A 24,745-nucleotide genomic window follows, 5' to 3' on the forward strand; every position below is an offset into this window, starting at 1 on the left:
TTTTTTTTTTTTTTTTTTTTGAGACAGAGTCTCCCTATGTCGCCCAGGCTGGAGTGCAGTGGCGTGATCTCTGCTCACTGCAAGCTCTGCCTCCCAGGTTCACGCCATTCTCCTGCCTCAGCCTCCTGAGTAGCTGGGACTCAGGCGCCTGCCACCATGCCCGGATAATTTTTTGTATTTTTAGTAGAGACGGGGTTTCATCATGTTAGCCAAGATGGTCTTGATCTCCTGACCTCGTGATCTGCCCGCCTCGGCCTCCCAAAGTGCTGGGATTACAGGTGTGAGCCACTGCGCCTGGCCAGCAGCTATTCTTTGGCAATGCTCATTTATGGAGGAGAGGCCTCATGCTGCAGCAGGTACTGCACAGGCTCTGGAGCTAGGACCTGACCCTGCCACATATCCATAAGAGCTTCCATCCGCTGAGCATGTCATGATGTGCCAGGCACTGTACTAAGCACTTTGTATGTATGCAGTCAGTAGAATGATGGCCCCACAGATGTCCACATCTCACTGGCTGGAACCTGTGAATATGTTGGGTTGTATGGCAAAGGAAACTAAGGCTGCAGATGGAACTAAGGTCAGTAATCAGCTGATTCTTTTCTTTCTTTCCAACTTTCATTTTAGGTTCAGGGGTACATGTGCAGGTTGTACATGAGTAAATTGCATGTCACAGGGATTTGGTGTACAGATAATTTTGTCACCCAGGTGATCAGTATAATATCCTTGATATAGTTTAGATGTGTGTCCCCACCAAATCTCACATTGAATTGTAATCCCCAGTGTTGGAGATGGGACCTGGTGAGAGGTGATTGGATCATGGTGGTGGATTTCTCACTAATGGCTTAGCACCATCCTCTTGGTGCTGTTCTCCTGATAGTGAGTGAGTTCCCTTGAGATCTGGTCATTTCAAAGGGTGTGGCACCTCCTGCCTTGCTCTCTCCTGCTCTTGCTCTGGCTGTGTGACATCCTCCTCCCCCTTTACCTTCTGCCAAGATGGTAAGTTTCCTGAGGCCTCTCCAGAAGCCAAGCAGATGCCAGCATCATGCTTCCTGTACAGCCCATGGAACTGTGAGTCAAGTAAACCTCTTTTCTTTACAAATTACCCAGTCTCAGATATTTCTTTGTAGCAATTCAACAACAGAACAGTACAACCCTATACATAGTTTTTCAATCCTCGCCCTCTTCCTACCCACCACCATCAGGTAGGCCCTGTGTCTATTGTTCCCTTAATGGTGTCCATGTGTACTCAATGTTTAAGCTCCCACTGACAAGTGAGAACATGCAGTATTTAGTTTTCTATTCCTGTGTCAATTTGCTTAGGATAATGGCCTCCAGCTCTACCCATGTTGCTGCAAATGACATGCCTTCACTCTTTTTCATGGCTGTATAGTATTTTATGGTGTATATGTACCATGGTTTCTTTACCCAGTCCACCACTGATGGGCACCTAGGTTGATTCCATGTCTTTGCTATTGTGAATAGTGTCCGCGGGCTTTAAAATGAGGAGCTTATTCTAGATGACCTGGGTGGGCCCATGGTGATCACAAGGACCTTGTAAATGTGAAGAGGGAAGCCAAAGAGTCAGAACCATAGAGAGATTTGAAGATGCTGAACTGCTGACTTGAAGACTGAGAAAAGGGCCATAAGCAAAGGAATGTGGGTGGCTTCTAGGTGCTGGAAAAGGCAAGGAAACAATTCTCCCTTGAGCCTCTAGAAGGAACACAGCTCTGCTGACAACTTGATCTTACCTTGTTTGGTACTTCTGACCTCCAGAATGATGAGAAAATAAATTCGTGTTGTTTCGAACCACTTGGTTTGTGACAATTTGTTATTGGAGCGATAGGAAACTCATCCACTCACCTCATCCACTCTGTACCACTCTCCTCTGAGCAGCTGCTGTGATCACACTTTCACAGATGAGGACATTGCAGCTGCGGGGCAGTTAAGCAACTCACAGGAGGTTCCACAGCCAGTCTGGTGAGGAACTGAGATTCTAACCTGCCCTATACCCAGGTCTGAGCCCAGAATTGTGTGACCTTGGATAAGTTATTCAGGTTTCAGCCCTCAATCATGGCCAGAGCTAAGGTGAAGTGAGTGAGGCACCTTGGTGCGAAATTTAAGGGAGCATGAAAAAACTTAGTCATCGAGATGCAGTCTATTTTAGTGTAATATATTAGAATTAAAATTGATGCCAAAAAATGCCATGATGAACAAAACACTAAAATTTTAAATAAATGTAGGGTTAATCTCAATTTCTACATCTATAAAAGTAAGGACTATATCCTAACTTTGCAGGATGGTTGTGTGGAATTAAATGAAAAAATCTACAGAAAACATCTTGGGAACACCTGGCACATAGTAAGAGCTCATTAAATGACGATCATTGTTTTGCGGGGCACAGAGGGTGGGTGAAAACACAGGCCCTAGTGTCAGGCTGCTGAGATTCAAATCCTAGCTCTGCCATTTCCCAGTTGAGTGGCCTTGAGTAAGCTGTTTACCTGCTTGATGTCTGAGGCTACCTTCAGACTCAAATGTGGTGTCACCTCATTCCCAAACTCATTCTAACCAGCTTCTTACAAGCAGCGTGATTTTGTGCTATTTCTGAAATTTCTTCTCAATCTTTTTATTTTGGCCAGGTTATTTACCTTTAGTGAATTCCATCTTCTGAAAACAATGCTTTTGTGGGTCTTCTTGCAACTGAACTACAAGATTCAGGCAATTCCGACTTATGAAACCGTGATGACATTTTTTAAGAGGTAATATAACTTAGTGTTGATTGATGAAATACACAAATACTGAAATGTACAAACACTGCTCATAATATCACGGGGGAAAACCATCAGTGATATAATTTTTCATAGCATCATTCAGAGGGCACTGTTTTTTTAATAGGGCCTAAGATTATAGGATGCTTTCAAACCACCAAATTACCTGGAAAAGTAAACAACATGTAGGTGTTGTACTATGAGATAATCAGGTGCTTCTGGGAACTTGCTGTGTCCAGTAACAGGCATGAGGCAAAAGGTACTCCTCTCTTCAGGAAAATGACCACACTACCCTGGCCTTTAAAACTTCATTAAAAAAAAAAATCAGCTTTCTTAGGTTGAATAAAACTCACTTTTTCTGTGGAAGTAACTGGTGGTATTACCTTGTTAGGTTTGTGTTTCTGGTCCCCACAGCCTCAGGAATGAGGGCTTCCAAGCATGACGAGGCGAGTTTAAGGAAGTGGAAGTAAAGATGCTTCATTTCTTTTGCATGTGTGAGTTTAGCAGATAAACACGTCTTCACGTAGTGACCTGTTTAAGCCAAGTTTCATTTGCATTGTTTTGAAGCACGTAATTCATTTCTGGAACAGAACATCTGTGCGCTGCGTTAAGTAAAGAGCCCACTTCTTTCTCTGTCTTGTTATTTGAGGAAAGCAGCATTCAGTGTCGGAATTATATGTACTGTGTTTAGTTTCCATATAATTTGCTTTGAACCCAAATGTTTTACCCGCCCTCCCCCACTCTTTTAATAGCCTATGAGACACTTTTTCCAATGAGTCATGCACACCAGGAGGAATTGCTGTTTGGCTCCAGGTCAGCTCTCCTACTGGAAACGTCTTAGCACTGGGAGATAGGAAAAAGAGCTAGAATGTGGTGATTCATTAGAGCTGTGTTTTTAATATGGAAGAAGCAAGTGAGGAGAAGGGAGTTAAGGTGTGGGCCCCCTGCCAAAGTTGCTGTTTCCAAGGCCTTTGCTTGCACTCCTGAGCCAGAGACGCCACAGCTCTTCCCTGGAGTGGCAGGCACAGGGGTGTTTCTCACCACCACAGCTTTTCCATTTTCTTTTCGAATCTACGTTGATTTGTCCCAGACCTCACATCGCCATGCATTTCCCCAAGCCCCCTGATCCTGTATAATTTTCTTCGTTGGAAACCATTTGCTTCTTTCCAAGTCATGTCATTGCCCCGACCTAAGCAGTGATGACAAATCTTTCAACAGGGGCCAGAGTCCTCTCAATGTAGAGTGGGGGTGGCTCCAGACAGCCAGAGCCTGCTGTGTCCCTTCCCCAACCTCCCTCCTTCCCTGCTTGGCCCTCTCCTTTCTCCAGCGAGCTTTGGGTCAGACTGGGAGAAAAGATGGGAAAGTGTAGGGCTTGGATGCTCTCCCCTGCACACTGTCCAGGCCCACTCTGTCATCATGGAGGACCTTGTGGCCCACTTTTAGCACTGTGGATGGTTCTTCTCCTGCCCAGCTCAGCTGCTCCAGGGTGGTAGCACCTCGCAGTTGTGTCTTTGTCATTGGCCTCCATCTCCCAAATGCATCTCCTGAGCCCCGGGCTCCTTCACCTGGGGGTCTGCTCTGGGTGCTCCTGCTTCCCCCAGTCCCTGCCTGCTCTGCCTCCTCTCTGTCCATCCGTGATGGGGGCCACCCACCAGAGCTGCTCTGCCCAGCCCCTGCTGAACCCCTCAGTTCATGTATATGTCCTGCCCCTCCCAGGGACATCATAAGCAGCTTCAACAAAGGGCTTATGATCCTTTCTCTTGCCCCAACTTGCCTGGCACCTTGCTGGACTGTGAGTCTCTGTCAGACTTTTTTTTCTCTTTTTTTGAGACAGGGTCTTGCTCTGTCATCCAGGTTGGAGTACAGTGGCGTGATCATAGCTCACTGCAGCCTCAAACTCCTAGGTTCAAGTGATCCTCTCGCCTCAGCCTCCTGAGTAGGTGGGACTACAAGAGCATGTAGCCACATCTGGCTAATTTTTAAAATTATTACTATTATTATTTTTTGTTTGTTTGTTTTTTGGTTTTTGTTTTTGTTTTTTTTTTTGAGAAAGAGTCTCGCTCTGTCGCCAGGCTGGAGTGCAGTAGCGCCATCTCAGCTCACTTCAACCTCCGCCTCCCAGGTTCAAGCAATTCTCCTGCCTCAGCCTCCTGAGTAGCTGGGACTACAGGCAAGCGCCACCACACCCAGCTAATTTTTGTACTTTTAATAGAGATGGGGTTTCAACATGTTGGCCAGAATGGTCTCGATCTCTTGACCTCGCGATCCACCCGCCTCGGCCTCCCAAAGTGCTGGCATTACAGGCGTGAGCCACTGCGCCCAGCCTAAAATTATTATTTGTAGAAACAGGGCCACTCTGTTGCCCAGGCTGATCTCAAACTCCTGGTCTCAAGTGATCCTCCCACTTGGCCTCCCAAAGCACTGGGATTACAAGCATGAGCCACTGTGCTGAGTACATTTTTTTTTTTTTTTTGAGGCAGTGTCTCACTTGTTGCCCAGGCTGGAGTGCAATGGCACGATCTCGGCTTGCTGCAACCTCTGCCTCCTGGGTTCAAGCAATTCTAGTGCCTCAGCCTCCCAAGTAGCTGGGACTACAGGCACGTGCCACCACGCCCAGCTAATTTTTGTATTTTTAGTAGGGGTGGGGTTTCATCATGCTGGCCAGGCTGGTCTCAAACTCCTGCCCTCAAGTGATCCTCCCACCTCGGCCTCCCAAAGCACTGGGATTGCAGGCGTGAGCCACCGTGCTGGGTCCATTTTTATGTAGCTCAGTTCTTCTCACAGAAGTGGGTCTTAAATGCTGATGGAAAATTCAGAGAATGTCATGCATGTGGCAACTTGACAACATTGAGATAGCAGACACATTTCCGTTTCTATTGATGGGTGGTGCCCGTTGAGTGCACCAGCCCAAGAAGGATTCTCAGCTTTTCTGTAGGCTCTGAGAAGAAGAATGTCGCAGTAGATTAGCGGTGTCTATCCTGGCTGCAGGAGCCAGGCTTGGTGGCGCCCTGGGTCCATGTTTGCCATCCCCTGCCGAGGATCCCCAGGGCTGACCAGCAACAGTGCGGAGGCTTTGTAGCTGCTGGCCTAGCAGGGCTGGTGGCCGGAGGGCTCCAGCTGCCCCGAGGTACCTCTGCTCCCTGTGGAGGTGGAGGGAGACTGCAGGGAGTCACGGACAGCCTGGGCCAGCATTGCGTCACCAGGGGAGTTGAGCTACAAAGTTCAAAGGGGCAAAGGGAGCAGCTAATCAAGGAAGCTCCAGTGGTCGCTGACAGGGATGTGCCAGGAGCATTTCAAAGTGAGACAGAGGAGCAGACCCCAGGGGAGACAGTAAACAGGCTCGGAAATGAGAAGAGAGGGAGCAATTTGGCCCAATTTTAAAAATTGCAAATATTGATAAAATAACTTCAATGACAGAGCAATCTACTTCCCGGGGAGGGGGACATGTTGAGGCCGTCACATTATGGGAACTGACAAGTTGGAACTGCACTTCCCTAACATGTCAGTAGTGGGACAAGCTGAACAAATATTAGCTCACCCGGACCTTGACCCTACCAGGAAAGAAGCTGAGCAGCAACTGCGGGCATGGCCTTGGCTGGCCCAGAATCCGGAAAGGAGGGTCGAGAGCCATTAACTGAGTAAAATGAGTCAGACGCCCCTTTCCTCATCTGTCTCAGCAGTGTCCGGAAGACAGGCTAGGAGGGAACGTAGTTGAATAACTGACTTCTCCAGCAACGACTATACCCAAAAATAAAGACATACGTCCAAGCCATTTCTACTCTCCCATTTTCTTTTGTTCATTAATTTTTTTTTCAATCTTTCATTCAACAAATATTTTTTGAACATGTGCTTTGTGCCTCAGACACTGACATAATGTTGAAGGGGCAGTTTCTTTGCCTAGCCAGATGTTTAGAAACAACTTCAAGTTTATTTTTGTTGCTATCCAAGAACATCAATGTAAGAAGGAAACAAACACGCACGGTCGTGTGTGGCTTGCAAACACATACAAACACACACCTGTGTGCACATAAATGCATACACAACTACACACATCTAAAGCATAAACACACATACACACACCACTCTACACTCTACAGCCTGTTTTTCTGGCAATAGCTAGTTGAGAAAAACAAATAGGCTGTCCCGAATTAAATTTAACATCTCCTTGTAGGAAAAACAAAAAATGTAAGCAAAGCTGTTGCCTTCATCTATGAAGGAAAAGTCATCATTTCATTCCACTTGGTAGTCTGAGAAGTTCAGGAAAGCTGTAAAAACTTGTAATCGGAGAAAGGGCAGAAGCAGGCAAATTTTCAACTTTTTAAAAGAACATTTTAAAATCAAGGCATAAAATACAGAAAGGTGCATGAACCTTAAATGAAGAGCTCAATGAATTTCCACAAAGTGAGCACACCTGTGTAACCAGCACCCAGACCAGAACAGGGGACATGGCCAGTCTCTAAAGCCCCTTATCTCAGTACCTACTTCTTCCACCAAAAGTAAACAGTATCCTGACCTCTTTTACTACCAATACATCTTCCCTTTTCTTGAGCTTTGTATAAATAGAATTCTGTAGCATACACCTTTAAATGTCTGGCTTCTTTCACACAATAATGTATCTGTAAAATCCATCCACGTGGCTGCATGTAGCAATAGCTTGTTCATTCTCATAGGATATTTCATTATATGATTATACCACAATTTATTCAGATGTTGGTGGACATGTTCAGCCACTAGGAATAGTATTGCTATATACAACCATGTACATGTCTTGTGGTACACATAATTATGTGCTTCTATTGGGTAAAAACCTAGGAATAGAATTACTATGTCATAGGGTATGGATGAGTTCAACTTTAGTAAATACTGCCAAACAGTTTTGCAAAGTGGCTGTGCTAATTTATTCCCTAACCAGCAGTGCATGAGAATTCTGGTTTTTCCATATCCTTGCCAACACTAGGTATCTTCAGTCTTTCACTTTTCTTTTTCTTTTTCTTTTTTTTTTTTTTTTTTTTTTTGAGACAGTCTCGCTCTGTCTCCCAGGCTGGAGTGCGGTGGCATAGTCTCAGCTCACTGCAACCTCCACCTCCCGGGTTCAAGTGATTCTCCTGCCTCAGCCTCCTGAGTAGCTGGGACTATAGGCATACGCCACCACACCCAGCTAATTTTTGTATTTTTAGTAAAGACGGGGGTTTCACTATGTTGGCCAGGCTGGTCTTGAACTCCCAACCTTAAGTGATCCACCCGCCTTGGTCTCCCAAAGTGCTGGGATTATAGGTGTGAGCCACCGCTTCTGGCCAGTCTTTCACTTTTCTAATGGATGGAGAGTGGAACTAATTTGCCTATTCCCTTTTAATTTACATTCCCCTGCTAATGAGGTTGAGCATTTCTTTATATATTTGTTAGCCATTGGGTATCTTTTTAGTGAGGTGCCTGCACAAGTCCTTTCCCCATCTTTTCTTTGTTCTTTTCTATGTTCTGCTACGTTCTGGTCCACGTCCTTGTTGGATATATGAATTCCAAATACCTTCCCTCTGTGGCTGGCTTTCTCACTTTCAGAATGGTCTTTTGTTGTTGTTGTTGAGAGAGTCTCACTCTGTTGCCCAGGCTGGAGTGCAGTGGTGTGATCTCAGCTCACTGCAAACTCTGCCTCTCAGGTTCAAACGATTCTCTTGCCTCAGCCTCCTGAGTAGCTGGGATTACAGGCATGTGCTACCACGCCTGGCTAATTTTTTGTATTTTTAGTAGAGACGGGGTTTCACCATGTTGGCCAGGCTGGTCTCGAACTCCTGATCCAGGTGATCTGCCTGAATCAGCCTCCCAAAGTGCTGGGATTACAGGCGTGAGCCACTGTGCCTGGCCTCATAATGCTCGTTTGATGAACAAAATTTTAAATTTTAAGGCATTATAATCTATCAAGCCTTTCTTTTATAGTTAGTGCTGTTTTTTTTTTTTTGTTTTTTTTTTTGAGATGGAGTCTCACTGTGTCACCCAAGCTAGAGTGTAATGGTGCGATCTCAGTTCACTGCCATCTCTGCCTCCCGGGTTCAAACGATTCTGCTCCCTCAGCCTCCTGAGTAGCTGGGATTACAGGCACGTGCCACCACACCTCGCTACTTTTTGTATTTTTAGTAGAGATGGGGTTTCACCATGTTGGTCAGGCTGGTCTCGAACTCCTGACCTTGTGATCCGCCCGCCTCGGCCTCCCAAAGTGCTGGGATTACAGGCATGAGCCACTGGGCCTGGCCTATAGTTAGTGCTATTTAAGAATCTTTGCCTATTCCAGTGCCATGTGGATATTCTCCTATTTTCTTCTAGAAGCTCTATTGTTTTACCTTGCATTTAGATCTAGAGTCCATCCAGAAGTATTTTTTTAAGTATGGTGTGAGGGAGGGACCATGGTCACGGTCCTTCTTTTCATAAGGATGCACAATTGATCCAGCACCGTTTACTGGAAAGGCCATGCTTTGCTCACTGCTCTGCAGTGTCTGTCACCTTTGTCATAACGTATTTTACATGCTATGTGTTAAATGTTAGTGTCATACGACTATATGTATGACATATACATCATTTTTAGTATCTCTATTCTGTGCCATTAGTCTTGTCTATCCTTGAACCAATACCACACTTTCTTAATTACTGTTTCATTATAAATCTTGAGATGGAATAAGACATCCCCCAATTTTGTTCTTCTCCAAGATTACTTTGGTCATTCTTGGTCCTTTGGATTTTCACATATTTACTTTATAATCAGATTGTCAAATTCCACCAAAAAAGACAAGAGAAGAAAATGCTGAGATTTTGACTGGGAAGACATTGAATATGTAGATCAATTTGGGGAAAATTGACCTCTTTAGAATACTGAGATTTGTAATCCATGAAAATGGTATAAATCTCCATTTATTTGTCTTTTAAAATTTCTTGACCAGGCTCAGTGGCTCACACCAGTAATTTCAGCACTTTGGGGAGGCCTGAGGCCAGGAGTTAGAGACCAGCCTGGGCAACATAGTGGGACCTGTTCACAAAAAAAATGTAAAAAATTAGCTGGGCATGGTGGCACACTCCTGTAGTCCCAACTACTTGAGAGGCTGAGGCAGGAGGATCACTTGAGCCTGGGAGGTTGAGGCTGCAGTAAGCTGTGATTGTGCCGATGCACTCCAGCCTAGATGGCAAAGTGAGACCCTGTCTCAAAAAAAATTAAAAATAAAAATAAAATTTCTCTCAATAAAATTTAATAGTTTATTGTATGGAGGTCTTGCTCATCTTCCGTTGTATTTATTCCTAAGTGTATAATGTTTGCTGACTCTATTGTAAATAGTATCATTTAAACATTTTTATATTCTAATTGTTTGGTGCTGATATATAGAAGTACAATAGTTTTGTATATTGACTTTGTGTTCATATATTGATAGATTTTCTTATTTTAATAGACTGTACATTCTCTTGTATGTTTTCTACATATAATTATGTGATTTTTAAGAATAATACTAGATTTATCTCTTTCTCTCCAAATCTTGTGTCTTTCACTTATTTTTCTTCCCTTATTGCACTAGGTAGACTCTCCAGTATCATGTTGAGTAGACATGAACATCTTTTGATAATGACATGAACGTCATCTGATAATGAACATCTTTTTTTTCTTCCCAGTCTCAAGGAAAAAGCTTTCAGTAATTCCCCAATCTGTGTATGATGTTTGCTGTGGGTTTGGTGTAGATACTCTTTATCAAATTTTGAAAATCCCCTTCTATTTCTAGAGTTTTTAATCACGAGTGAATCTTACCAACTTTACTAAATGGTTCTCAGATTTTCTCAAAATGATATATAGTTTTCTCCTTTTTGCTATGAATGTGGTAAAATATATTAATTTTTCAAAGCAATAAACTTTGAGGTGGGATTTAATTACAGCAAAGTGAGTACGTTTTAAACATACAGTTTGATGACTTTGATAAACAGATATGCCTGTATAACCAGCACTGCAATCAAGATAGAGAATTGTTGATTTATTTTTTAATGGTAAACCAACTTTGTATCCCTGGAATGAAACCAACTAGGTCAAGCAATATTATCCTCTTTTATGTCACTGAATTCTATTTGCTGACTGTTTAGAATTTTTGCCTATATATTCATGAGAGATATTAGCTTGAAATTTTCCTTTCTTGGTTTATCCTTACCAGCTTTTAATTAATTTTGAGGTTATACTAATTTCATCAAATACATTTCAAAGCAGTCCCTCTTTTTCCATTTTCTAGAAGAGTTTGGGAGAGACTGCTGTTCTGTCTTCCTAAATATTTGGAAGAACTTTTCAGTGAAGCCATTTGGGCTTGAGATTTTGGAAGACTTTTAGTTATAGATAGAATGTTCTTTATATATAGTATTATTAAGATTTTATGGGTCTTTTTGTGTCAATTTTAGTTATGTTCTGTTTTTCAAGGAACGTGTACTTTTCATCTAAATTGTTTTAAATTTATTGACACCAGTAATTAACAAACTTTATCTTTTTAGAGCTTTTTTGAGGAATAATTGGAACTCAATAAACTACACATAGCTAATGCTTCAATTTGATGAGTTCTAATATACATAAGTACCCATAAAATGATCATTACAATAAAAATAATGAAAATATCCATCTCACACAAAGGTTTCCTTATGACACTAAATAGTCCACTCATAGGCCGGGCACGGTGGCTCATGCCTGTAATCCCAGCACCTTGGGAAGCCGAGGCAGGCAGATCACCTGAGGTTGGGAGTTTGAGACCAGCCTGACCAACATGGTGGAACCCCTTCTCTACTAAAAATACAAAAATTAGCCAGGCATGGTGGTGCACGTCTGTAATTCCAGCTACTTGGGAGGCTGAGGCAAGAGAATCGCTTGAACCTGGGAGGCAGAGGTTGCAGTGAGCCGAGATTGTGCTATTGCATTCCAGCCTGGGTGACTGAACGAGACTCCAACTCAAAAACAAAACAAAACAAAACAAAACAAAAATCCACTTGTCCTCTTTGCTCCAGCCCCACCACCACCATTGGTGGGCAAACACAGATCTGCTTCTATCACTCTAGATTTGTTTGCATTTTCTAGAATGTTATACAGTCTCATGCGTCACTGAACAACTAGGATGTGTTCTGAGACATGCATTGTTAGGCTGTTTCATCCTCGTGCAAACATCATAGGGGGTGCTTACACAAACCTAGATGGCATAGCCTACTACACACCTGGGCTATATGGTACAGTGTATCCCTCCTGGACTACAAACCTGTACAGCATGTTCCTGTACTGAATATCATAGGCAGTTGTAACACAATGGTAAGTATTCATGTATCTAAACATATATGATGTAAAAGATAAAAAAAAAGGATACACCTGTACAGGGCACTTATCATGCATGGAACTTGCAGGACTAGAAGTTGCTCTGGTGAGTCAGTGAGTGAATGGTGCGTGAATGTTAAGGCCTAGGACGTTACTGGGCAGCACTGTAGACTTTTTTTTTTTTTTTGAAACGGAGTTTCACTCTTGTTGCCTAGGCTGGAGTGCAACGGCGCAATCTCGGTTCACCGCATCTCCGCCTCTCCGGTTCAACTGATTCTCCTGCCTCAGCCTCCTGAGTAGCTGGGATTACAGGCATGTGTCAGTGCGCCCGGCTAATTTTTTGTAATTTTAGTAGAGACGGGGTTTCTCCATGTTGGTCAGGCTGATCTCAAACTCCCGACCTCAGGTGATCCACCCGCCTTGGCCTCCCAAAGTGTTGGGATTACAGGCGTGAGTCACTGCACCCAGCCTACTGTAGACTTTATAAACGCTGTGTACTTAGGCTACACTCAAATGTTCTTTCTTCAATAACAAATAAACTTTAGCTTACTACAAGTATTTACTTTATAATTTTTTTAATTTTTAAAACTTGACTTTTTCATAACACTTAGCTTAAAACACAAACACGTTATACAAGTGTACAAAAATATTTTCTTTATAATCTGTTCTATAAGCTCTTATCCTGTTTCTAAAAAGTTTATGTTAATTTTTTACTTTTTAAACCTTTTTGTTAAAAACTAAGCCACAGGCCGGGTGTGGTGGCTCATGCCTGTAATCCCAACACTTTGGGAGGCCGAGGCTGGTGGATCATGAGGTCAGGAGATCGAGACCATCCTGGCTAACACGGTGAAACCCTGTCTCTACTAAAAATACAAAAAATTAGCCGGGCATGGTGGCGGGCAGCTGTAGTCCCAGCTACTTGGGAGGCTGAGGCAGGAGAATGGCGTGAACCTGGGAGGCGGAGCTTGCAGTGAGCCGAGATCGCACCACTGAACTCCAGCCTGGGTGACAGAGCGAGACTCTGTCTCAAAAAAACACAAAAAAACAAAAAAAACAAAAAAACAACAAAAAAAACTAAGCCACAAACACACGTATTAGCCTAGGTCCACACAGGGTCAGGACCATCAATGTCACTATCTTCCACCTCCACATCTTGTCCCACTGGAAGGCCTTCAGGGGCAATGACACCCATGAAGCCATCTCCTATGATAACAATGGCTTCTTCTGGAATACCTCCTGAAGGTCCTGCTTGAGGCTGTGAACTTTTTTTTTATAAGTAGAAGGAAAACACTATAAAATAAAGATTAAAAGTATATAATAGTACATAAGCCAGTAACAGTCATTTATTATTCATTATTAAGTATTATGTACTGAATGTAATTGCATGTATTACACTTTTATCCAACAGACGCACAGTAGGGTTTTTTTTTACACCAACCACACCACAAACACATGTGTTGTGCTATAGAATCACTAGACAATAGGACTTTTTCAGTCCTGTCTTTTCAGCTCCATTATAATCCTTTGGGACCACTATCTTATATGTGGTCTGTTGTAGACTGAAACGTTGTTAAGTGGTGCCTGACTGTATATATAGAATGTTATATAAATAAATCATGGAGTCTGTACTCCTTTTTTTCTGGATTCTTTCATGCATCATAATTATTCAGAGATTCACCCATGTTGTTGCATGTATCAGTAGGTCTTTTTGTTGATTGCTGAGTGATATTCCATTCATGGATTACCAAAATTTGTTTTTCTATTCATCTTTTCATAGACATTTGGGTTGTTTTTAGTAACTTTATAAAGTTACTATAAATATTCCTGTACAAGTCTGTATGGGAGAATATACTTTCATTTCTTTTAAGTAAATAAATTCCTGGGAATAGAATGGCTAGGTAAAACAGTAGGTGTATGTTTAACTTTTTAAGAATCTGCCAAACTGTTTTCCAATGTGGTTGGACTATTTTTTTTGTTTTGTTTTTGAGACAGCGTCTCACTCTGTTGCCCAGGCTGGAGTGCAGTGGCATGATCTTGGCTCACTGCAACCTCTGCCTCCCAGGTTCAAGTGATTCTCCTGCCTCAGCCTCCCGAGTAGCTGGGATTACAGGCACATGCCAACACGCCCGGCTAATTTTTGTATATTTAGTAGAGACAGGGTTTTGCCATGGTGGCCAGGCTGGTCTCAAACTCCTGACCTCAGGTGATCCACCTGCCTCGGCCTCCCAAAGTGCTGGGATTACAGGCGTTCATTTGCTCCACATCCTTGCTAACATTTGGTCAGCCTTTTTGATTCTTGCCAATTTAATCCATTTGTAATGGTATCTCATTGTGATTTTAACTTTCATTTCCCCAGTGACTAAGGATGGTGAGCATTGTTTCATATGCTTATTTGTCCTTCATTTATCTTCTTTAGTGAAAAGTCTGTTCAAACCTTTGGCCCATATTTTTAAAACCGGGTTGTTTTATTATTGACTTGTGAGTATTCTTTAAATATTCTGGATACAAGTCCTTTGTCAGATACATATTTCGTAGATACTTTCTCCAAATCTATTACTTATATTTTCATTTTCAAAATAGTGTAGTTTGAATATCAGAAGTTTTTTATTTTGATGTTCAATGTGTTGACTTTTTTCTTCTTTTCAGTTCATTCCTTGTGTGTCCTACTTAATAATCTTGCCAAAGCAAGATGACTATGATTTTTCCTCTATGTTTTCTTCTGGGAGATTTATTGTTTTAGCTCTCACATTTATATTTATGATTAATTTTGAGTTAAGTTTTAAATATATATGTGAGGTAAGGGTTAAGATTCATGTTTTGCATATAGATATCCAATTATTCAGTATGATGTGTTGAAAAGAGTATTCTATTTCCCTTGAATTGCTTTTGGCACCGTTGTCAAACATCAACCATATGTGTGTGTTTATTTTGGGACTCAATATTCTGTTCCTTTAAACCATATTCCTATTTTATACTAATATATTATCTTGATTAGATAATTCATTTTTACTAAGTCTTGACATAAGGTAATGTAAGTTCTCTAGCTTTGTTCATTTTTTTCAAAGTTATTTTGACTACTCTAGCTCCTTTGCACTTTCATATTAATTTTAAAATCAGCTTGACAGTTTTTGTAGAAAAATCTCGTGGAATTTTGATAAGGATTGTCTTCAATGTACAGGCCAATTTGGGAAGAATTTACATCTTAACAAGATTGAGTCTTCTGATCCATGAATATGGTATATCTTTCCATTCATTTAGGTCCGTTTAAATGTCTTTCATAAATGTTTCCTGTAGTTTTGCACAGTGTTTAGAAAATTTATCTCTAAGGCTTTCATATTAACACTATTGTAAGAGGTATTATTTTAACTTTGATTTCTGATTGTTCTTTGCTATTATGTAGAAATACAGTATTAATTTTTTTACATTGACTTTGTATTATACAACCTTAGTAGAACTCAATTGTACTTCTAGAAACTTTTTTATAGATTCCTTAGGAATCTACATAGGCAATCATATCACCTGTAAAAAAAGACAATTTTATTTCTTCCTTTCTATCTGTATGCCTGTTTTTGTTCTTGCCTTATTACACTGAATACAATATTCAGTACATTGTTGATCAGAAGTGGTGAGAGAGTGGACCTTCTTGCCTTGTTCTAGAATACAGGAGGAAATAATTTAATCTTTCATTATTAAATAAAATTTTAACTATAGGTTTTTTATAGATACCCTTTATCATGTTGAGGAGGTTCCTTTTATATCTAGTTTGATGATAAATTTTATCAGGAATAGATGTTTTATTTTATCAAATGTTTAGTTTGCCCTTCTTTTCCTAGTTTCACAGGTGGAAATTTAAGTCATTGGTTTAAGACTTTTTTTTCTAAGTGTTTAGTGCTATAAATTTCCCTCTAATTATTGCTTTAGCTGCATCTCAGAAATTTTGATATGTTGTGTTTTAAACTTCATTCAGTTCAAAATACTTTCTAATTTTCCCTTTGAGTTCTTCTTTGACCTATGGATTATTTAGAACTGTGTTCTTTGTTCTGCAAATATTTGAGGATTTTCTAGATATCTTCCTGTTACTGTTTTCTAACTTAATTCCATTGTTATCAGAGAAAATGCTTTGTATGATTTTAGTTCTTTTAAATTATTGAGACCTGTTTTATGGCTCACAATATGATCTCTCTTGGTAAAAATTTTTTAAAAGTCTTTATGATTGTATTTTATGTCTATTTTTAAAAATTTCAACTTTTATTTCAGATTTAGGGGGTACATGTACAGGTCTGTTACATGGATATATTACATGATGCTCAGGTGCGGTACAATGGACCCTGTCACCCAGGTACTGAGCATAGTACTCAATAGGTAGTTTTCCAGCCTTTGTCTCCCTCCCTCCCCACTCTAGTAGTCCCTACTTTCTATTATTCCCATCTTTATGTTCATGTGTACCCAATGTTTAGCTTCCATTTATAAGTGAGAACATACGGTATTTGGTTTTCTGTTTCTGCATTAATTCACTTAGGATAATGGTCTCCATCTGCATTCATGTTGCTGCAAAGAACATAATATATATATTTTTTAATGGCTGTGTGGGATTCCATGGTATATATGCACTACATTTTCTTTATCCAATCCACCACTGATGGACACCTAGGTTGATTCCATGTCTTTGCTATTGTGAATAGTGCTGTGATGAACATATGCCTGCATGTGTCTTCTTGGTAGAATGATTTATTTTCCTGTGGGTATATACCCAGTGATGGGCTTGTTGGGTCAAATGGTATAGTGCAATTTTCAGTTCTTTGAGAAATCTCCAAACTGCTTTCCACAGTGGCTGAACTAATTTACATTCCCACCAACAGTGTGTAAGTGTTCCCTTTTCTCCACAGCCTTGCCAACATTTCTTACTTTTTGACTTTTTAATAATAGCCATTCTGGCTAATATAAGATGGTATCTCACTGTGGTTTTGATTTGCATTTTTCCGATGATCAGTGATGTTAAACATTTTTGCATATGTTTGTTGGCCACTTGTATATCTTCTGTTGAAAAGTATTTGCTCGTGTACTTTTTCTACTTTTTAATGGAGTTGTTTTTTGCTTGTTGATTTGTTTAAGTTCCTTATAGATTTGGGGGTATTATACCTTTGTTGGATGCATAGTTTTTGTGTTTACTCTGTTGATAGTTTCTTTTGCTGGGCAGAAGCTCTTAAGTTTGATTAGGTTCCACTTGTCAATTTTTGTTTTTATTGCAATTGCTTTTGAGGACAATCACAAAATTTTTTGAAAAGACTGATATCCAGAAAGATATTTCCTAGGTTTCTTCTAGGATTTTTATAGTTTTAGGCCTTACATTTAAGTCTTTAATCCACTTGGTAAATGTTTATTATGTTTTTAGTATCTATAGAATTTGTTGTGATGGCCCTCTTTTCATATCAGATATTGATAATTTGTATATTTCTCTTCTTTCTTTCCTCGATCAGCATTGATAGAGGTTTATTTTATTCATTTTTTTAAAAAACACCTTTTGACTTGACACACCTGTTGATATTTTTCAATTGTATGTTTTCTATTTCATTAATTTTTCTCTTCGTTATTTCCTTCTACTTTCTTCAAGAATTGATATTCTTTTTCTAACCTCTTGAAATGGGTATTTAGATATCTGATTTCCAGGCTTTCTTCTTTTCTGATTTAGAGCTATACGTTTCCTTTAACTGCATCCCACGAGTTTTGATATAATATGCATGAGTATGGTGTATTGGGTCAGGAGTGGGGGTGGCTTTATCGGACATTCTAGTAGGAGACAGGTGGGTGGAGAAAGTGAGGAGGCCTAGGGAACAGTTGCCACTCTCTCCATGAGGGGCAAAGGGTCTGAGCTCTGGTGATATCAAGAAGATGGAGTGGAAAGAGTGTCCATAAGAACAAATATGGTAGCAAGAGAATTAATTATTCATCTGGTTCACCTAGCTAGAGAAGGAGATGAAAGAAGATGTGAGAAGCAGCCCATTGCAGTTTGGAATCCACGGTGATTTATACAGAAATATGGCACCTGTGGAAGATGATCTTATTTTGGATTAATTATGGTGAATTTAGAGAGATCAACTCGTTTATCAGGAGCTCAGGGGTTTGGTGTATTTCAGAAGCCATCTTGCTAGAGTGATCCACTGTGCCTCCACACTTGGCTCAGTTATCCCCAAGGAAACCCTCCAAGAGTACCCTCTCTCCCCACAGTCTGATTCAGATGCTCAGTCTCTGGGCTCCATAGTATTGCATGCCCATCTCTGTAAGCTTTCTCACTTGTAAATAAAATAATTATTGGGATTATCTGTTCCTAAGCATGGCTCCCGCACTGGCCATTTGCAGCAAGGGCTGTGTCTTACTCCCTTTACCCTCCCAGTCCTCAATCTTTCATTAAAGAACAGCTTCTAGCTGTTGACTAAGTACTGAATGAATGGTGCTTTGAATGTTCTTTAATGGTGGTTTTAACCTCTGAAATATTTCACTTTAACTCTGAAAATTACTCTAAATTGCATGTCAGGTACACAGTGTAAGAAGGAATATAGTGACTTTCTGGCCAGTTGTTTAGTGTTAAATGGAAACAAGTGTCATGTTTACAGAGTGATAGCTTGAAGTGCACAAAGCATGGGCTGGTTTCAGTCCTGCTGGGTATGGATTTGATCTTGATTTGCAACTTTCTCCCTCCAGCCTTAGGCATTACGGTGTGTGTGCTACATTTCAAGTGGAACAGTCTTCTCAGGGCCTAGGGATGACTCTCCAGTTGCTTTGTGTATGCTCAGGCTCAGCAGGAGATTGACAAGTAGCTTCTTGTTGCTTCTTATGTGTCCTTTTATGGTATGTGGGACAGGGCTGGATCTGAATGACTGCTAGAAGGGTGGAGAATTCAGTCCTCAATCAGGTGAAATTGGTCAGTATTATTAGAAGCAGAAAATGTCTTCCCACCTTCAAAAACCCTTCTGCAGGAGGATAGTGTAGAACTCTTCTTGTGATTATACTAATTGAAATGAGTGGCAGTTTGGGAGCTACAGGACAGCAAAATGCATTCAGTTCATGTCAGTTTGTAAATTACTCACTTTACTAAATCAAAGAAGGTCGATGCTGGAAAGTGCCTTAGAGATCATCTGGTCTCACCCTTTCATTTTGCAGTTGAATAAGCTAAGGCCCAGGGATAATGAGGAGGTTACTTAGGCTCCTTTTGCAAATTGATGGTGGTCCTGGGGTTGACCTTGGTCTTCTAGGTCTTCTGACACTCTTAGCTCTTAGGATCAAGGGCAAATCATAACAGACATGTAATTCTAATCCTTAGCTGATTTATAATCACTAAATAGGTATCTCTCAGACACTGAAGGGTAGATTCTGGCAATGAGCTTCCACCTCACCAGAGGGAAGTAATTTGAATGTAGCCAATGAAGCCAATTCCCATATGATCCCAACTTCTAGATTCCCCTGATTCTCCAGCTGAGTCTCTTCTTTCCTGTGCCCTACCCAAATCTGACCCAGCCTTTACAGAGCTTGACAAAGCCGGTTCCAGAAAGCCTTCTCTGATCTCACTTGTGCACTGGATGAATTCCTCCTCTTAGCTCCTCTTTGCGGAGAGAAAAAGAGCATGTGCTGGCTGCATGGGTGTGCACTGGTGAACCCAACAGCACCTTCCCCCACCCATTCCCCCCACATACTATTCCCAAGGGACCGCAGGGGGAAACTTTTAAGGAGAGCTTCCCTGCCATGCCCTGTACCATGGGTGCCCTGAGCCCACTGATTTCTTGAGGGCAATGTGCTATGATGCTGTGTCCCCAGGGTGGGCGAGGCCATGTGCCTCTTGTGATTCATGAATGGCATTTGCAGATGTAGCCAGAGTTAGCATGAAACTGGGCAACCCTGGTGTGTCAACACTGATCTCTTTACCAGCACATTAATTTTGAAATATCCCATGAGTCATGGACATTAGGGCCATTAAATTGTTCTCTTTTAGAATAGCTCAACAAAGCCTTGTGCAGGGAGGTTGGTATATTCTGGGTCAAGAGGATTTCTCATTATCTGACGTTCATGCTTCTTGCCTTGTTGTGTCTTCTCTTGCTCTGAGAGGTGATGACTCTGCTCCCCTTTAACTTGGATCTCTGGAACCTGAGTCTCTCTTGTTCTCAAGGTCCCTAAATATTATGCTTAGTTCTTACTAACTTTCCACTTCCGCCATGTTGCTTCTTGGCTTCCCAGGCATATTGAGAAGCACCAAAACATACCTTCAACAATAAGCATGGAGAAGTGGAAGGAGCACAAGAGTCTGGGTGTAGGAGTTTCTTAAAAAGGGCAGCTGTGGTTATGATTAGACAGGATTTCCCTTTGTGCTAGGGTCAGGACCATCTTGACAGACAGAAGGACATTGAACTTGGTCTCAGTGAAAAGCTGATAGGTCATGGTGACAGCAGACAGGACCACATGGGCATGGAGATAGTGGCATAGACTGGCCTGTATGTGCAGCAAGTGTGTGTGAGCATGTGCACCAGGGCTGGCCCTACTGGCCTAGAAGATAAGTTGTGGGTGAATGGAGGGATGGGATGATGGAAATGAGGCTGGAAAGTTGGCAGGGACCAGGTCATTCATCCAATTAATTCACCCAACATATTGCAAGTTAAGTGCCAGGCACTATAAAAGACACCAAGAGTACAACAATAAACAATGCAGACACAAACCCTGTCATCATGGAGCTTGCAATCTAGGAGCAGAGACAAGCAATAAATCAGATGTATGTTAGAAGAAGTCAGCCCCGAGTCTCAGCCCCACCTCTGCCATTCACTGCCTGTAGACTTTGGGCAAGCACCCTAAGCACCGTGCATGGAGGTAACAACACACACTCACCAGGACTGATGGGTAGGTCAGCCCTGACTCAAAGAAAAGGCCCAGGACAGCATGTGACAGGGGTTCTAAAATGTGGTGACCTTTGGTAGGTTATGATGTGGGGGTGGCAGCAGGAATTATTGTTTCATTTACCACACTTGAGTGTTAGGAGCCAAGAGGACCATTTCCTGGTTTTGTATATATAGATAGATAGATTTTTTTTTTTTTGAGATGGAGTCTCGCTGTGTTGCCCAGGCTGGAGTGCAGTAGCATGATCTTGGCTCACTGCAACTGCTGCCTCCCATGTTCAAGCAATGCTCCTGCCTCAGCCACCCGAGTAGCTGGGATTACAGGCACCCACCACCATGCCTGGCTAATTTTTGTATTTTTAGTAGAGATGGGGTTTTACCATATTGGCCAGGCTGGTCTCCAACTCCTGACCTCAGGTGATTCACCCACCTCGGCCTCCCAAAGTGCTGGGATTACAGGCGTGAGCCACTGTGGCTGGCCTCCATTTTCTGGTTCTTTGATTTCAGGAGTGTCCCAAGTCTTCTATGCTGAGTTATATTTTGAGAAAAAAAAAAAGCCATTTTCTCTTCTCATTGTGAGTTATTGCCCTAAAATGTGTATTTTTTTCAAACGTTGTCTTAAAATTTAATATGTTAGTTCAGGTGTTTCTCAAATAAGCAAAGTCACTTTTAACCCTAATGTCTTTTTTCAACTGGGGCAAAATATGCATAGCATGAATTTTTCCCATGTGAACCATTCTTACGTGTTCAGTTCAGTGGCGTTAAGTTTATTCGCATTGTTGTGCAGCCATCTCCAGAACTTTTCCATCTTCCCAAACTGAAACTCTACCCATGAAACAACTCCCATTCCCCTTCCCCAGCCCCTGGCAGCCACCGTTCTACTTTCTGTCTCTACGAATTTGATGACTCTAGGTACCTCATAGAGTAGAATCATCCAGCATTCACCCTTGCGCCTGGCTTACTGCTTCCAGGTTCATCATGCTGTAGCATATATGTATGTTAAGGCTAAAATCTGAAGTGCTTGGACTATCAGAGCTGTGGGCCTGATACTCGCAGGAAGGGTGGAAGGCTCCAGCAGATGACAGGGTAGAGGAAGTGAGAAAGTTGTGGCGAAGAGCACCTCTAAAATACAATATGTACCCATCAGAGGGAGACTTGTCCCCAGGTACTGTCTTTCCGAGTCTATGGGAGATTTGTCCCCAGGGTCTGGCAAGTAGGACCCAGGGCCAACCTGGATGTATCTTTCAGTAGCAAGGAACTGTGAACTGTCTTCCCTAGAGGGGTCATGCCCCAGGGTTTCTCAGTGAACTTTGGGAGGCATAGACCATCGCCTGAAGGTGTCTCAAAAAAATAAGTGCTAAACCAAAAGAGGTCTTTGCACAAACAGAGCGCAGTACCAGGGAAACCATGCCAGTCTTTGAGTCCACCAGTGTAGCCAAGCACTGTAGTCCCCAGACTTAGCAGCTGCTTGCTCCCTCCCATCTTACGTGACACCATGTGAATGTACTCACCACTGGACCAGAGAGGAGCAGGTGCCTCCGCTCCCAGACAGTTAAGTGGCGCCAAGTAAAATGGAAAATGTGCTGGACTAGCCCTGAGTGGCCTGTGTAGGACACTGGCTCTAAGACAGTGGACCTTGCTAGGCTCCCAGAGCCGGGTTATATTGATCAGTTCTGAGGGTGGACCACAACCCTTAGATCCTTTGAGATTTCAGGAAATCAGAAGCTGAGGACACCACTTTCTATCTTTGAGGTGGCCCATAACTTGGGTGATTTGGAGGGTGGCAATGATGATGAATACCACCAGGAACAATTGCCTGCATTTGATGCTGCTTGAGTCCATTCACTTTCCCTGGGGCGGGAGGACAATGGTGGTGCTTATAGATGTTGAGGACTCACTGGGAGCCAGCAGCTGGCCCAAGCCCTTCCCAAACACTGTCAGCTTTACTCCTCCCTTCTCCCCAAGGCACCACCTGTGGCTACTGCTCCCACTTGACAGAGGAGAGTGAAGCTCTGAGAGGCCCGGTCACAGGACTGTGGCTGGCTGGGCTGGGACGGGACCCTGGTCTGCCTGCCTCGGGGGTCCCAGCTTGGTTGGATGATGAGATGACTCATGGCCTCTCCATGTCATCCACAAAAGTGGGCATCATTGCCACTTCCCAGAGGCCCCAAGGGGTCATAAAGTCCAACAAGCTGTCTCAACAAAGCTGTTTCCAAATCCTCTGGGACAGGATGGCTGTCCAGAGAGGCCCTGGCTGAATGGCCTTCGAGTCTGAGTGCCTCTCAAAGGGAGGATCAGGGTCTCGGTTCCTCTTGCCCCTGCCAGCAGCCTTGCCATGCCAAGGCACATCAGCAGAACCGGCGTCTGGAGCTTCCTGGTGGAGGGCAATGCTTTCCTCCAGATGGGGCCTTTCCTTTCTGGAACTGAATCTGTATTTCAGCCACAGCTCCAGCCGGGGCCCACTGCTTAGGGCAGCACCCGGCTGTGGAGCGCTGGCCATAGGTGCTGGCTTGTCCCCAGAGCACTGGGCAAGGCTAGGGAGGACGGCGTCAGCTTGGCCCCTTCTTGCCCCTTGGAACCTGCTGCCCAGCCATGATGACGCCTCAGCTGTTCCTCCATGACATGATGAAAAATAGGCAGAAGAAGGAGGAGGCTCAGATCATCTGAGGAAAGGAAGTGAGCGAGTGTTATTTGTCCCACGAAGATGTCAGTGTTTTCAGGGCACAGGCACCGCACCCACCAGCCCCGGCTCCACTTACCCTCGGTAATGGAGGGCTGGTTCCAGAACCAATAGTTCTGCACTCCTGAAAGCATCCGCCTGACCTTATTTATGGCTGCTCTGTCCACCTCCAGAGACAGGCACAGGGTAGATACTGGTAAATAACCCTTGAATTGAATCAGAACTCACTTGTCTTTGTGCCTACAACTTTTCTGCACCTCTAGGCCTATCTTCTGGGATCACTGGCGTGGAGCAGTTGGGCGGTCCCAGGAATTCCCAGATCTTATGAAAATAAACGGTTCCGGGAAAGCTGGCGGGCATCTCTGACAGAAGGGACCACAGGGCCAGTGGTGCCCTCTGTCCAGCTGGGACAGGGTGTGACTTGGACACCACTCTTGATTTACGGAAAAATAATCTACAAGTACCCTGGGTGGGTCCTATGCAGGCTCTGCCTTGAGGGAGTGACTGCATTTCCAAAGGGACTTGGAAAGATTGTTCCCCATTGTCCCCATTTATGAAAAGTGACCATTTTTGTGAAGTGAGTTATTTCAAAAGAAGGGCAGGGAATGCGTGTCTGTGTGTGCGTGTCTTCTCAAAAAGAACTGGATCTTCTCAACCCAGCGCTGAACTTCAGCTCCGTGAGGAAGTTAACTGGAGCTTGGTATTAACACTGAGTATAGCAGAACTGATCCTGAAACCAGCTGCTAAAACTAGTTCCCCACACAGCCGTTCTCTTCTTCTTTTTAATTTTTTCAGAAAGCACTTTTGCAGCGCCTAATTTGGTCACTTACTGGAAGGGCAGCGTATGTACAGGGGGAGTCAGGAGTCCCGGGTTCCAGTCCGAGCTGAGCCTCTTTTTCCCATCTGTAAAATGGAGCTCACTATCCTTGCCCCGTCTGCCCCACAAGAAGTTTGTGAGACTCAAGTGAGAAAATGCATATTGAGGTCCTCTGTAAAGTAACATGTGTTCCCATCAGTCACTTAATACACATTTATCGAGCACCTACTATGTGCAGAACTCAGTGGTAGATGCCGAGGGGACTATAAGCATTTGTCTCCATTACCATCTCTGGGGCTGGACTTT

At 42.8% G+C, this 24,745-nt stretch overlaps 1 protein-coding gene across 7 annotated transcripts in view, besides 1 other annotated feature; it reads left to right on the forward strand.

Moving 5' to 3' along the window:
* BTBD16 (BTB domain containing 16) overlaps positions 1 to 24,745 on the forward strand; it is a 66,864-nt gene that overhangs the window by 33,257 nt on the left and 8,862 nt on the right. For 5 of the 7 annotated variants that reach the window (NM_001318189.3, XM_011539241.3, XM_011539240.3 and 2 more), the window contains one exon: positions 2,637 to 2,756. The exons of the other annotated variants lie outside the window; for them this stretch is intronic. In NM_001318189.3, the coding sequence (NP_001305118.1) occupies positions 2,637 to 2,756 (120 nt within the window). The remainder of the gene's footprint in view (positions 1 to 2,636; positions 2,757 to 24,745) is intronic. 7 annotated transcript variants of the gene reach the window in all.
* Positions 3,387 to 3,456: an enhancer, noted in NCBI's record as "active region_4142". NCBI's record gives its function as "activates an Ori minimal core promoter by ATAC-STARR-seq in GM12878 lymphoblastoid cells {active_cell/tissue: GM12878}" and the evidence as "EXISTENCE:reporter gene assay evidence [ECO:0000049][PMID:35858748]".

The sequence above is a fragment of the Homo sapiens genome, chromosome 10 (genome assembly GCF_000001405.40).
Source record: "Homo sapiens chromosome 10, GRCh38.p14 Primary Assembly".
In the NCBI taxonomy this organism is placed as follows: domain Eukaryota; kingdom Metazoa; phylum Chordata; class Mammalia; order Primates; family Hominidae; genus Homo; species Homo sapiens.